The sequence below is a fragment of the Homo sapiens genome, chromosome 6, assembly GCF_000001405.40.
Source record: "Homo sapiens chromosome 6, GRCh38.p14 Primary Assembly".
Taxonomy (NCBI): domain Eukaryota; kingdom Metazoa; phylum Chordata; class Mammalia; order Primates; family Hominidae; genus Homo; species Homo sapiens.
The window spans coordinates 122396585-122411807 of NC_000006.12; the positions used below are offsets into that span (position 1 = coordinate 122396585).

The 15223-nt window shown below is 38.1% G+C and overlaps 1 protein-coding gene across 3 annotated transcripts in view, besides 3 other annotated features; it reads left to right on the forward strand.

Moving 5' to 3' along the window:
* Nucleotides 2804-3123: a silencer, noted in NCBI's record as "silent region_17514". NCBI's record gives its function as "represses an Ori minimal core promoter by ATAC-STARR-seq in GM12878 lymphoblastoid cells {active_cell/tissue: GM12878}" and the evidence as "EXISTENCE:reporter gene assay evidence [ECO:0000049][PMID:35858748]".
* Nucleotides 2967-15223, forward strand: part of HSF2 (heat shock transcription factor 2) — a 33569-nt gene continuing 21312 nt past the window's right edge. For 2 of the 3 annotated variants that reach the window (NM_004506.4, NM_001243094.2), the window contains exon 1: nucleotides 3068-3246. In NM_004506.4, the coding sequence (NP_004497.1) occupies nucleotides 3154-3246 (93 nt within the window). In that variant the 5' untranslated portion in view covers nucleotides 3068-3153. Of the gene's footprint in view, nucleotides 3247-15223 lie in introns of all 3 variants that reach the window. The other variant, NM_001135564.1, reaches the window with a different exon arrangement.
* Nucleotides 3364-3863: an enhancer, noted in NCBI's record as "H3K27ac hESC enhancer chr6:122721093-122721592 (GRCh37/hg19 assembly coordinates)". NCBI's record gives its function as "activates a minimal SCP1, AML or CMV promoter by ChIP-STARR-seq in naive H9 embryonic stem cells {active_cell/tissue: H9 hESC(naive)}" and the evidence as "EXISTENCE:reporter gene assay evidence [ECO:0000049][PMID:30033119]".
* Nucleotides 3394-3513: a silencer, noted in NCBI's record as "silent region_17515". NCBI's record gives its function as "represses an Ori minimal core promoter by ATAC-STARR-seq in GM12878 lymphoblastoid cells {active_cell/tissue: GM12878}" and the evidence as "EXISTENCE:reporter gene assay evidence [ECO:0000049][PMID:35858748]".

The window sequence follows — 15223 nt, forward strand, 5'->3', positions numbered from 1 at the left end:
TCAATACTTAGTTTTTCAGAAAATGTACTAATTATAATAAATATTAACGATTATAAGTTCATAGAAAAACAAAACATAGTCGTTTAAGTTATTCCTGGAACATCTGGATTTTATTAAGAGATGAAGGGTGGCCAGGTGCAGTTGCTCACACCTGTAATCTTATTACTTTGGGAGGCCAAGGTGGCAGATCACTTGAGCTCAGGAGTTCAAGACCAGCCTGGCCAACATCGTGAAACCCCATCTCTTCTAAGAATACAAAAATTAGTGAGGTTTCGTGGTGCAGACCTGTAATCCCAGCTACTCAGGAGGCTGAAGCAGAATTGCTTGAACCCGGGAGGCAGAGTTTGCAGTGAGCCAAGATCACACCACTGCACTCCAGCCTGCCAGCCTGGATGACAGAGTAAGTCTCTGTCAAAAAAAAAAAAAAAAAAAAAACAGACAGAAGTAAAGCATAACAATAAATCTGTACATCTTAGTAGTAAGGGAAGCTCAGTTTACTAATTTTTCCTCTATAACAGCAATTCTCAAAATGCGGTCCCAGGGCCAGTAGCATCTGCGTCATCTGGGACTTGTTAAAAATAAAAATTCTTAACCTGTACCCCAGACTTACTGAGAGCCATGGAAGCAAAAGCAGCAATTTGTTCTTTAAGAAGCTGTCCAGGTGATTCTGCGCTAAAGTTTGAGACACATTGGTGTAAATTTAAAAAGCATGTTTCAGACTACGAAAGACCTGGTTTCAATTCCAACCTTAACTAGATGATTTTGGATACATCATCTAAGTTTTCTGGTGCCAAGGTTTTCTTATCTGGTTAATAACTTATCCTTGTCACTGCCCTTATAAGTATTACAAATACTACCTGATAAGTGATATTGCTCATTTGCTTACTGGAAGGCTTCCCTCTCCAAGTGATTCAGACGCATGCTTAAGTTTGAGAACCATTTGTTTCAAACTTACGGTCTATAAGATGCCATACATTGGAAACAGAATCAGCTACACAATTTGCAAGATCCATTGCAAAATGAAAATGTACAGTCCCTTGTTCAAAAACTGAGAATTTCAAGAGGATGAGAACAGAGCATTAAACTAAGTATGGCACCCCACTAAGCCCAGCCCTATGAATGCCCAGCCTTTGAATGTCCAAAGACAAGTTTCTGCTTCTATCTAATCACACCTTCTTTTTTTAGAAGAAAATAATATAATGCCATGAAAGTAGGCCACATTTCCTCCTTAGACACTGCCATTCTTACCTCCTGAGCTGTTGCCCTCCATAGACAGACATGATCATTAGCTTCCTGGTTTTTGCTCATTCTGTTGTCTTCCTTTTAGCTATTCAAATATATTTGTACCTCAAGACCCAACTTAAGGTCCCTATCTGCCATGAAATCCTTCCTTACCACCTTAACCTACTAATCTGTCTTTTTAAACTTATCTAGTACTTATTTTATACAAAACATTTAGCTCTTTTTGTATATATTGAGTGCTGATCACTGTGGTCATATTGTTTCTTGAGTTTGAATATAAGCATCTTGAGCTTTGAAACAGTGTCATCATTGTACAATGGAAAGGGCACATACTTTTGAGCTCAATAAAGCTTGGGTGTAAATACTCTCCCATTTACTTGCTGTGACTGAAGAAATTAATCAACTTTTGAGTCTCAGAATCTTCTCTGGGAAAATGGGATAATAAAACCTAGTTCATTGGGTTGTTGTGAGGATTCAATAATATATGTAAAGCCCTTGGCATATATAAGGGCTCATCAAATATTACTTCCTCTATCACATGCATGCCTCCATATATCTGATTTTGCTTCAGCCAACATCCCAGTGCTGAGCACAAAGGCAGCATTCACTAAATACTTGCTCATTGGAAGAGATATACATATATCTTCCATTAAATGATAGATATATATTTAATGTACTATTTTACATTCACCCAAGAAGTAAACCAATCCTATGTTGAAGTTTTGTATGTTATCTCTGACTTGTTTGTAAGTTTTTGCCTTCACATGCTGACTTTTGTAAAAAAAAAAAGTCGAATTTTGTAGACTTCATATTTTCAAAGCATTTGCACAGCCATTATAGTATTAAAGACACTCTTAGTGGGTAAAAAGATAGATCTTATTCCCAGTCAAGAAATGGAAAAAACTGGCACTGGTGGCTAAGGAATTGTTCTAAATGACAGAACCAGTGTATTTTAATATACAGAAAAATGTCCAAGAGGCTTTATCTAAACTGAGATCTACTGACTCCTTTTCCATTGTTTTTTCCACTATACCAATCTCTTAGGCAAAAAAGACTATATCTGTAAAGTATACGCAGGAAAAACTATTTTAATTAACTAAAATAGTACAAATGAGTCTATTTCTTTTTATTCTGGGTACAGAGTAGGCACTTGATGACTGGATTAAAAACAGCACATGATATATCAATTGCAGTTCCTGGTTTACAGTTTTAAGTAATCGAGAGTGAGTTATTTAAACTGCTCTTTTTGATAAACATATTTTAAAGAGGGCTTTTTCTCCCAATGAAAATGTAAGAACAAGTTTCATTATTTTTAAGACAATTTCAATTTGGGGCCTAGCACATCATGCTTGAGAGCTGGTTTTTTCCTTATGCAAATGGATCCTTTCTCTAAACTGGTGCAAACCACACTTTGCCTGCCAAACTTATGACTCAAAGGCCCTGAAGGGTTTCTGTAGCCTCCCAGCCACAGCCCAGAAACCATAAGCTGTTTCCACGTGAAACATCCAAACACGGTCTCCCAAGCCTAAGTCTGCTACCATCAAGGCTTCTGTATAAAAGGCAAATGAGGAGGCAGCGCCCCCTTCTGCTCCCACCCCCTTCTGCTCCCACCCCCTTCATGTCAGCAGCAGCCAATCGCTTTTCTCTGTCGTGCAGTCGGCTCCTGGGATTGGCCAGGGACGGGACAGGCGCGGAACCACTGCGCGCACAGGCGGAGCGCGGAGACTTGTCCGTCACGTGCGGCCGCCCGGCCTCTCGGCCTTGCCGCGCGCCTGGCGGGGTTGGGGGGGCGGGGACCAAGATCTGCTGCGCCTGCGTTGTGGGCGTTCTCGGGGAGCTGCTGCCGTAGCTGCCGCCGCCGCTACCACCGCGTTCGGGTGTAGAATTTGGAATCCCTGCGCCGCGTTAACAATGAAGCAGAGTTCGAACGTGCCGGCTTTCCTCAGCAAGCTGTGGACGCTTGTGGAGGAAACCCACACTAACGAGTTCATCACCTGGAGCCAGGTACGGTCAGGCCACGGCGGCCTCTGAACCCCCTGAATAACCGCCTCCTCACTCGCTCTCCTGCGGGGTGGTCTCTCGCGGCCTTGCGGCTCGACGCTGTCTGCGAGGCCCGCGGTGCGGGGCCTTGGCGTTCAGCCTCGCGGGGGACCCCCTGTATTGTTCGCTCGGGGAGCCGCGGGGGCCCGGCCGGCAGCGCCGCTCTCCTCAGGCCGCGGTGGGGGAGGGGCGGCCCGCGCGGGGCGTAGCGGCCCAGGCAGCCCCTTAACGGTCCGGTCCGCGTTCGGAACCGGCCCGGCGTCGCGAGGGGAATCGGCGAGCCGAGGGCGCGGGAGCCTCTTTACTGCACACTCATCCTCCGTCCTCCCGCCCGGCTCAGGGGTTACAAATCGCGGAGGGGACAGGGAGCCCAGGGCCAGGATCATCAACGTGGGGCTTTATAGGAGGCGATCTTTACCTCAGCGACCGATCACCCCCAGTTCCCCCAACATTGCTTTGCATCTGGCATCTTTATGTGGAGAGCAGTCAGGGCAATAGACATACGTTCAAACGCAGGTTACTGCTTATCAGTTGGTTTTAAAAATATATAGAAATTAACAAATTATTCTTTTGAGATTCTGTGCTATTTGTATAATGGGATTATTAGGATTGTTTTAATAAAGTACTAATAGGTGGTAACTTAGTAGTTACTAAATTTCGCTGAACAGTTACCAGCAGAGGGGCATATCGATGTGTTGATTATTGGTTTGATCTCAACTCTGCTTCTAAACAAGCATGACCTTAGTCCAGCCCTTTATCTTGTCTGGCCTAAGTTAAATCTTTCATAAGATGGATGGGTTGCCTAGGTGACCCAAGACCTATATCAGTCCCAAATACAAGATTTTAGGCAGAATGATTATTTACATCCACAGTGCATGTGCATTAGAATACACTCCTAGGCTGTTGGAATCATTTTTATGAAGGAAAGTGGTTAACTCTTATTGTAGATGATCACCTATTGAGGCATATTTTCATATGTGTAGTTCTTGAGAAGAATAAGTGAAAACTACCTGCATAGTGCCTGGCACCTGTTAAGTGCTGAGTAAATGTTATCTCCCGTCCTCCTTTCTTTCCTGTTCTCCTATTATAGGAACTCTTAGTTTTATTTACTTTTGTCTTAACAGGGAGTGAGCACCATATTAAGACCCTGAAGTTTTGACTTCTGTAATACCATAGTTTGCCTTGTGTTATTATTTGTTCTTTTTTCCGACTTCCTTCTAGGATTTAATTTTTGTGTGTTCTTTATGAGCAACTGAGTTATCCTTTTAGCCCCACTCCCTGCTTGGAGTTGAGTAGGGGGGCGTGAGTGTTTCTATTAAGCATTTAATGAATTCTGTACAATTGTACAAAGCTAGGTGAAAATAAGAAAGCCAGCCACTAGCATGTACTTAAAATAAACACATGTCTCATGCTTTTCATCAGTTAGAAGGATTAAAAGTTGACAAGAAGGATCAGTACAGACTGTTACTCAGACACGTATTCGTGTTAGAGATTGGACTGAGATTCTCTCCCCACGAAAGCTGACTTTATCATACCTTTTTGTCTTTTATGGGCCAGAAATAGGGGCTATATATATTGGCAGTTGCTTTTAATCAGAGTATCATGTCAGTGGTAGGCCTATTAAATTCTGATTAGCAACAGTGTTTTAATAACATTCTTATTTTCTGAGTACTGTCAAATGTGGAGAGTTTCGTACTGATCCGTAAATGCATCATTCTATGAGTTCTAAGCCAAATAAACAAGCCACTTAACCATTTTTTAATCCCATTATTAACTTTAAGCTTATGTGTTAACCAATTTTCTAATATGCCAGTGGGACAATCAAAATGTAAGCTCAGTGAGATCACTGTGCCAGAGACACACTAGGTGTTTAATAATTGTTTGATGAATAAATGAGATCCCTCGAAAATGTAATGGAGTGGTAGGAATGATGAAGATAAAATTATATTTGAAATGACTCTTAGAGATCATCTAGGTTAGCCTTATCATTGTATAGATGAGGATTTGAGGCTTGGACAGGTGAGATTATTTATCCATAATTATACAGCTCGCCAAGATTGGAGATAAGACCCTAACATAAGCTTGTCCAACCCGAGGCTCACATGTGGCCAAGGATGGGTTTGAATGCGGCCCAGCACAAATTCATAAAGTTTCTTAAAGAAACATGAGATATTTTTGCAATTTTGCTTTTAAGCTCATCAGCTATCATTAGTGTTAGTGTATTTTATGTGTGGCCCAAGACAATTCTTCTTCCAGTGTGGCCCAGGAAAACCAAAAGATTGGACACCCCTACCCTAATAGATTTCTGAGCTCCCAGATCAGTCTTCCACCAATAGAACTAGACTTAATGCAAGTTGACATCATATTTAGTTTTATACCAAAATGTTGCTTGCCACAAGTCAATGGACAATTCTGAATAAATGTTGTCTAGGGCTAAGCCTAGTTGCTTAGGCAGCTGTCTCATTTGTGCTCTCCATGGATTTTTCTAAAAGCAGTGCTAATACTGAAAAGTAAAACTTTAACAATAATGTTAGGTGGAAAAACCAAAATAAGTTACTTTCATCTTTCTCTTTTCTTTGATGAATAAATGAAACCCTAGAAAATGTAATGAGAGTGGTAGGAATGATGATATAATAGTCCTCAACAGGCTTTGAATTTCCAAGTGGCAGAGACTATATCACACTATATCATATTCGTTTTTTTTTTTTGTGGTAGAGTATCACTCTGTCACCCTGGAGTACGGTGGCACGATCTCGGCTCACTGCAGCCTCTGCCTCCTGGGCTCAAACGATTCTTCTGCCTCAGCGTCTCGAGTAGTTGTGATTACAGATGCGCACCACCATGCCTGGCTAATTTTTGTATTTTTAGTAGAGACAGTGTTTCACCATGTTGGCCAGGCAGTCTCAAACTCCTGACCTCAAGTGATCCACCCGTCTCGGCCTCCCAAAGTGTTGAGATTACAGGTGTGAGCCACCGGCGCCCAGGTACTCTCATCTTTTGAAAGTTGCTATTTATGGTGGTTTCTGGTTTCCTTCAAACTTGTGTTGTATTTCTGTTGAGGTAATTTAGCATTTATACTATGAAAATCATTGAGAACTTTTAGAAGAAGCAGTTGTTTTGGGAACCAGACAAGCTTTTGTGCAGTTTTTTTTTTCAATGGTGGAAAATAATTTATTTCTCTACCTTGAGTGTAAGGCAAGGGAAAAAAAACTCTTACCAATTGCGTTTTGGAAAACGCAGTTGGTAATATCTCTAGATAATATCTCTGGAGACGTACATAACTTTAATTTTCCTCGAAATTTGCAATATGACAAAATTGAAAAGGGAAATAATACCTCTCACCATTAAATACAAGAATATAATAATCTGAACAATTGAAATTATACTTAAATATGTTATTGACTCTAAAATAATAGAAATGCCTTAATTCCAGACAGTCTTTAAGAAAGCATAATGTGGCTAGGCGTGGTGGCTCATGCCTGTAATCCCAGCACTTTGGGAGGCCAAGATGGGCAGGTTGCTTGAGCCCAGGAGTTTGAGACCAGCCTGGGCAACATGGTGAAACCCTGTCTCTACAAAAAAATACAGAAAGTAGCCAGGTATGGTGGCGTGCATCTTTAGTCCCAGCTACTCAGGAGGCTGAAGAGGGGAGATGGCTTGAGCCCATGAGGCAGAGGTTGCAATGAGCTGAGATCACACTACTGCAAGCCAGCCTGAACAACAGAACGAAATCCTGTCTCAAAACAACAACAACAAAAAACAGAAAGAAAAGAAAGTATGTTTTACATATTTCCATTTTCTCCTTACTCTTCTGAAAAACAAAAATGAAAAGTTTTCATTTTTTTTAACATTTCCTTTAAATGTAAAATTTTATATAACTGTTCTTGGCTTTGGTAGTCTGTTGTCAGAATCAAGTACAGAGATTGTACTGTCAGACGACCTAAAACTGTTTTAAATCTTAAGTGTCCTAAAGAGAGGGCACATATTAGCTTGGAAGCAACTGGTGAAACTTGATATTCAGAGACAAGGCCGTAGAGGTTAAATGAAGTTATATAGTAAAAAACAGCCTTTACGAGTTAATGAAATGTTACAACCAACGTATGCTGAAGTGAAGCAGTATAAAAGAAGGAAAGAACTGGAAGGTCATCCTTTTGTCAGTGTTGTTACCTTTGTCTCTGTTCTTCAGATTGTTTGAGAAAATGAAGTGATTTCCACCAAAGACTTCATACCCAGCTTTCCCCCCTTTTTGTGCCCTTTGGCATTCTCTGCTTCTCTATCCCCCTCATGTCAGCAGAGATGAATTAGGAAATAGGTAGGAGGGAGAGAGAGCAAAAACAGAATTTTTCCATTGTTTTCTAGCTGTTTTGGATGAATTTGAGCAGTAGGCCCTTGGACTTCACAAAGTGCTAGTATTGTTTTGAACATCCCAGCAACCATTGCATTATATTAGTATTTCAAAGTGAAAATAAGAAAGACTACAAGTGTGGGAGGATGGGGGTAAAATCCAACTTAGATGGACCTGCAGAAAAGTTGAAAGATTGATTTTCAAGTATTTTTATTTGTATATATAAGAGAAAGAATGAGCTAAAGACTCTAAAAGAGTAGCTGGTGCATATTAAAAATTATAGATTAGCAAGCCACAAATTTCTGTTCCGAAAAATGTTTTAAAGTAATGTGGCTGAAGTATTAGATTATTAGGAATATTTTGAGTGTTCTAACAAGAGTGCCAAAATTAATTTGGAGAGTAACGACTGTTTCTACTCTTTGGACTCTTGCCAACATTTGTGGGTAAGGTTTAAGGAGAAGGTGCCTATCTTTCCCACCTCACTCAGTAGTAGTTTTCTCATCCTTGTAAAATACTTAGGGAGATTCTGTGTTGTATTGCTTGAACCTCACAGGTTTAAAAGACAGGAAGGTGAATTTTTGCACTCAAAGAAGTTATTTACTAATTTTAGAATAGAGACTGAGGGAATACAATAAGCAGAGATAGAGTGATATGAATGAATAAGGAGTGTATGTGAGAGAGAGTGAGCACAGGTATAGCAAGAGATTATTGTCATCTCCCTATTTTATATAATCAAATAGTTGAAATTCTAAAAATTCAGTTTATTTGGCCAAAGATTAATTTAGTCAGTCACAGGTATTTGTTATGAATCTGTTATGACCTAATATTGTGCTAGGTATCAGGAATTCATTCAGTAGTGAACCAAAGTGCCTACCTTTATGGAGCTTACATTGAGTGGTGGATATCAATAAATAGTAAGCAAATACAAGCTGGGTATGGTGGTGCATGTCGTAGTTCTGGGTACTGGGGAGGCTGAGTTGGGAGGATTGCTTGAGCCCAGGAGTTTGAGGCTAGCTTGGGCAACATACTGAGACCCCTGTCTCTTAAAAAAAAAAAAAAAAAAAGTAAAAGCAAGCAAAACACAATCAATATAATTTCAGTTAGTGATAAATGCCTTTAAAAAACACCAAGATAAACTGTGTGTCGGTTAAGATGCAATCATAAGTCAGAAGCCACAGGTATTTTCAAGAGGGTAAGTTTAATAGAGTTACTGACTATATCAGGGAAATTAAAGAAAATTAAAAGAATACAAGAATAGTTTTAAGAAGCAGCCACTACTGATAGGGCTGAGATAGAGTGCCCAAGTAAGAACCTTTTTTGCCAAGGCTAAGATTCTTACCTTATTGGAAGGAATATGGCCATGACTCAGTAGCAGAGCAGTCACTGGTGTTGCTCTGGTGGAACTTACTGGAAATGCATCCTTCAAAACTTGGTGGGAAATATGCCCTCTAGGTCACGGGTTGGCAAACTGTAGTCCTTTTGCCAGCTGTTTTATAAAAAAAAGTTTAAATAGAACACAGCTATGCCCAATCTATTTACATATTGTCTGTATCTGCTTTCTCACTACAAAGGTAGAGTTATGATGTTATAATCTGCAAGCCTAATTTACTATTTGTCCCTTTAAGAAAAAGTTTATAAATCCCTGTTCTGGAGTACTCTAAAAAACTGTTTATGGGGAGATATCTTGTTAGAGATACTCTGCTTTGAAACCTCCCAAGGGAGAGGAAGCACCAGTGAAAGCTGATGGTCTTTGAGTGTTGCTGACCACCATTAATATCAAGAGCTAGGCACTGGAGAAGCTGCCTCCACTGCAGAAGCTTGCCAAGGATACATGAGTCAGGAACAAGAGCTCCTTTTTCTTGTAATATCTCTCTTTTATCCCCTGCTGACAGAACTTAACATCATGGCACCTAGAAAAAGAAAGATATTTATTTAAGGAACCAAGCTCTATGCTTGTAGAGCAGACAATGAAGAATGAATTTGGAGCAATAAATTGATAACTGGCCCATAAACAGACTAGGATTTGTGAATATTTTAGGTAAGGTGATGAGGAAAGCCTCTCCAAGGAGACGATGTTTGAGGAGAGATCTAAATGATTAGAAAAGATGGGCCAAAGGGGAATGACAAAAGGTAAGGCCTTGAATGTGGCTGTTCAAGGAAGCAGGAAGGCCCATGTGATTAGAATATCTTTAGGGAATTAGGAGAGTGAGAGTAGGGAGGTAGGCAGGAGCAGATGGTATAGGGCCCTAGATCTATAGTAAGAAGATTGGAAATGAGGGGACCAGTTAGAAGACTATCACAGTTTTCCTGTATGGTATTGAAAATATTGATGGCTGAGACTAAGGTAGCAGCAGTCAAGGTATTGAGATGTAGCTTTGAAATCTTTGAAGGCAAAGCTGCAGGATTTGCTGATAAATTGATAAATTGGCTATGGTTGGAGGAACGACAATTAAAAATGATTCATAAATTTGGTTTGAACTACAGGATAAATCCATTTGCTGAGGAAAGATGTTAGAGATTCTTTTTGGCATATTAACTTTGAGATTAAAAATGGATCTCTAGTAGTATTTGAAACAACTTGAAAATTGTTTAATTTTTCTTAAATTTGACCATGCCTAGTCATATGGCCACACCTAATTTCAAAAGGGATGAGGAAGTGCAGTGCTAGAAAAAAAAACAGGAGTATTTTTGAACAGCTTGACTGACTTCCACACTCCAAAATGTCCAAGTGGAAATGTTGAATAGGTGGTTGAGTATAAGACTTTGGCATTCAGGGTGGAGTTTAGACCTTGTAACTGGTAAAGCCAGGAGACTTAATGAAATCATCTTCTGTGAAGATAGAAGGAACCAAAAGATGTATTATTCCAACATTTAGAGAGTATGAAGACAAAAGCCAGCAAAGGAGGCTGAGACGGAACAGTGAAAAAGAAGGAAAATCAAGGGAGTGAACCCACAGAAGTTAATGAAAGAAAATGGCTCAGGAAAGAGATCAACTGTGTCACATGCTGTTAGGAATATTCTTGTATATCTCTCCTGGTGTATATAAGCAAGAGTTTCTCTAAGGTCTGTACACTCATGTGACTTGCTGGGATATAGGATATGAAATGTCTAACCTCAAGATAGTGTGAATTATCTTCCAAAGAGATCACACCAGCTTATTCCGCTATTAGCCATGTATGAGATTTTCTGTTAATCTGCCTCTTCAAAACTGTGTATTAGTTATCGTTCTTACTTTTTACCAATCTAATTGATGTAAAGCATTGTCTCAATGAGGTTTTGATTTATATTTTCTTGATTATTAATGAGTTCTAAAACCTTTTCACGTTCGTTGGCCATTTGTGTTTCCTGTTCTGTGAAATGTTTGTTTTGCCATTTTTCTGTTTTTTTTTTTATTATTTGTGAGAATTCCTATATATTCTACATATTCGAGTTTATGTTTTGGCCATATCTTCCAGTTTGTGGCTTTTTACATTTTAGTTGTCTAGCACCTTTACTGAGTAGTTCTTCCTTTTCCAATGATCTATATTGCCACTTCTATCTTACGTCACAAGTACGTGTAGATATTGTCTTAATCAGTTGGGCTGCCGTAGCAAGATATCATAGACCAGGTGGCTTCAACAACAGGCGTTTATTTTTTACAGTTCTGGAGGTGGAGAAGTCCAAGATGAAGGCAGTGGCCATTTCAGTTCCTGTGTTAGAGCTTTCTCTGCTTTGCAGACAGCTGCCTTCTCTCTGTGTCTTCCCAATGGCAGAGAGAGAGAGAGAGAGAGAGAGAGTGTGTTCTGGTCTCTCTTATCTTATAAGGACACCAACCTAACCTGGGGGGTCCTATCTTCATTACCTCCTCTGAACCTAATTACCTCCCAAAGGCTCTAACTCCAAATACCATCATATCAGGGGCAAGGGTTTCAACATAGAATTTTGGGGGACACAAACATTCAGTGGTTTTGTTTCTGGAGTCTTTATGCCATTCCATTGGACAATTTATCCTGTGCCTGTCTTCTGCTGTCTTAATTACTGTAGCTTCAGAAAAAGTCTTTTGGTAGGGTAATCTATCCTTCAGGAGTGCCTTAAGTATTTTTGGTCTTTAGCTCTTCCACATATGTTTTAAAATCAAGTTCCATAAAAAAAAAAAAAGCCTTTTGGATTTTTGCTGCAATTGGATCAAAACTATATAAATCAGATTAGGGAAAATCGATATCTCTGTGTTGTGTATTCTCATGACAAGGCATATTTCTAAATTCATTTTGTTGATTTATGTTTGCTATTAGGCCTTGTGGATCTTTGTTCATTTTCTTCCTGGATATCTTATATATGTTGTAAATGGTGTTCTTGACTTAAAAATAGATTTCTAGCTGTTGCTGGTAATTAGAAATACAAGTAATTTTTGTATATTGATAATAAATCAGTGAGCAAATCATTTTACTGATTTCAGTTTTCTGAGTACACCCATAGTATCTGTGATTGACATTTATTTTCTTCCTTTCAGACCTTTATGCCTTCCGTTTTTCTTTTGGCAGTAACTAAGAGTGAGTAGAAGCAATTATCATGGCATTCTGGCTTTGTTCTTAATTTTTAAAGGGAATGTTTTAATGTTTCCCCCTTACTAGCTGTTAGAATGAGAGTTTTTAACTTCATTTTTTTTTTTTTTTTGACATCAAATGTTGTCGGGTGACTTAGTGAGGAAGGGACTTGGTAGAATGGAAGACACAAGAAAAGATTGACTTCCGGGGAAACAGGAAATGGGTTTAGAACATACTGAGTTAAAGAACATAGTGTAAAAAATGTTAACATTTTAAATTGAAGTGTGTAATTTGAGATGATCAGGGACAGAGCTGTAGATGTGTTTATTATAAAATAAAGTCAATAATAAGATACCCTACTGTGGATGAATTCTAAGGAAAGAATATGAATGGTGCCACGATTAAGGATAAAAACCTGGAAAATACAGCTACCTCTTATTTGATAGGTGGAAGAAAATTGAAAGGAAATATAAGAGATAAGAGACTCAACAGTGTTTAGCATCAAAGCCCAGAGAGTCGAACATTTAAGGAGGAGATTGTTAGTTGTACCAAATGAAATGCCACAGAGAGGTGTAGGAAGATCAGGACTGAAAAGAGGGCATTGAATTTGATATTTGACATTTTAGAAATCTGGTTTCAGTCGAGTGAGGGAACCAAAAGCAGTTTTCAGTGAGAGTAAGTGGATGGTCCTGAATTGGAGAAGGGGGGTTTAAAATACCTGCTTGTTAAATTTTGCAGTTAAGGAAAAGACAGATGGGTAGATTGAAAAAGAAGGTATAAGAGGGAAAGTTCTTTTAAGATAGGAAAAGACGTATGCATTTTAAGCATTTTAATTTTGATAATTACCTAGTTGCCAATACTGGTTATTGTCAAGGGTTGTAAATTTAATCTAATAAGGGAAAATCATTATTTGTTTTGCTCTACATTCTTCATTTATGAGTCTGGGTCTCTTCTAAATTTCACAATGTGTTTTTCATCAAAATTGTGTTTCTGTTAGGAAGAAAGTAGAGGAGAGTAGAGATAGAGTAGGAAGCTAGCAGTCTCCATGGATAAATTTATATTTTATCTATATGTCTTCTGGGTTTATTATGTCATGTCTCCAAAAGCTTGCTTGTAAAGAGTAAGATGACATCGAGCTCTTATTTTTCTTCCCAAATGGAAAATTTCTTAATCCTTTTCTTTCCTGATTATCCCCCCATTTGAATGCCATCTTGACTTACTACCTGGTAAATTCTCAGATAGATTTGCTGGTTCATCTGTCCTCTCTAGTCAGTCCATTCATCTATGTAATCACTTCTTCTTTTGTACTAAATTGTTAACACTATAATTTTATAATCTGTATTGGGTAGGGTTAAAATACTCCTCCCCATTGTTCTCAATATTTTCTTTCCTGTTGTTATGTAATTATTTTTACAAATGAACTTATGTACCTAACATTTGGTTATGATAGCATCAATTCATCTTTACTCCACAAATCATTTTTTTAATTAAGACAGAATTTAATGTATTGGTTAATTTAGAGAGAATTGACACCTTTACAATACTGCATTTGTCTTCCTTTTGTATTTCTATAGTTTTAATATTTTTAAAGTTCCTGTATATTTTTAAATTTTATTTTTAGATACTTAACATTTTTCTATTATTATTGGGATATTTTATTCCATTTTAGTTTCTAATTTTTTTAATTGTGGTAAAATATACATAACATAAAATTAACCATTTTAAGTGCATTAAGTTAGATTCACATTGTTAGGCAACCATTACCACCATCCATCTCCAGAACAATTTTTATCTTTCCACACTGAAACTTTATACCCATTTCACAATAACTTCTAACTCCTTCCTCCCCGCAGCCCCTGACAACCACCATTCTACTTTTTGTCTCTGAAATTGGCTATTATGGAAACTTCATATAAGGGGAATTGTACAGTATTTGTTCTTTTGTGACTGGCTTATTTCACAGCATAATGTTTTCAAAGTTCTTTTCATGTTGTAGCTTGTGAGAATTTCCTTTTTTAGGTGAAATAATATTTCATTGCATGTATATACCATACTTTATCCATATATATTTCACCATGTGTTGGTGGATACTGAAGTTACTTCTACCTTTTGCCTGTTGTGAAAAATGCTACTGTGAACATGGGGTACAAATATCTGTTCAAGTCGTTGCTTTTATGGTTTTTTTTGTTTTGTTTTTTTGTTGTTGTTTTTGGGTTTTTTTTTTTTTTTTGAGTATATACCTAGGAATGGAATTGCTGGATTATATGTTCTTTGTTTAATTTTTAAAGGAACTATCATAGTGTTTTCCACAGCAACCACACTATTTTAACATTCCCACCAATAATGCACCAATATTCCAATTTCTCCACTTCCTTGTGAACACTTGTTTTATGCGTTTTTGATAATAGCCATTCTAATGGGTGTGCAGTGGTATATTGTTTTAGTTTTGATTTTCATTTCCCTAATGATTTGTGTTACTGACCATCTTTTTATTTGCTTATTGGAAGTTTGTATATCTTCTTTGAAGAAATATCTACTCACATCCTTGCTCGTTTTTTATCGGGTTGTTTGGGTTTTTTTTGTCTTTTGTTCTTTTTGAATTTTAAGAGTTATGTCTATGTTCTGGATATTAACTCCTGAGGTATATGATTTGCACTTTCTTCTTTCCATTCTGAGGGTTGCCTTTTCAGTCTGTTGGTAGTCTTTAGATTTGATGTAGTTCCATTTGTCTATTTTTGCTTTTGTTGCCTGTACTTTTAGTGTTACATTTAATAAATCATTGCCAAGTCTAATGTCATGCTCTACTATTGTTAAAAGTTTCTTTAGCTCTTGTGTTTAGGTCTTTGATTGATTTGAAGTTAGTTTTTATATATGTTATCAGATAAGGGTCTAACTTCATTTTTTTGTATGTAGATATCCAGTTTTCCCAGCACCATTTGTTGAAAAGACTGTCCTTTTTTTATTGAATGGTCTTGACACTGTTGTCAAAAATCCTTTGGCAGGGTTTATTTCTGGGCTGTCTATTTTATTTCATTGATCTATATGTTTGTCAGTATGCCAGTACCATGCTACT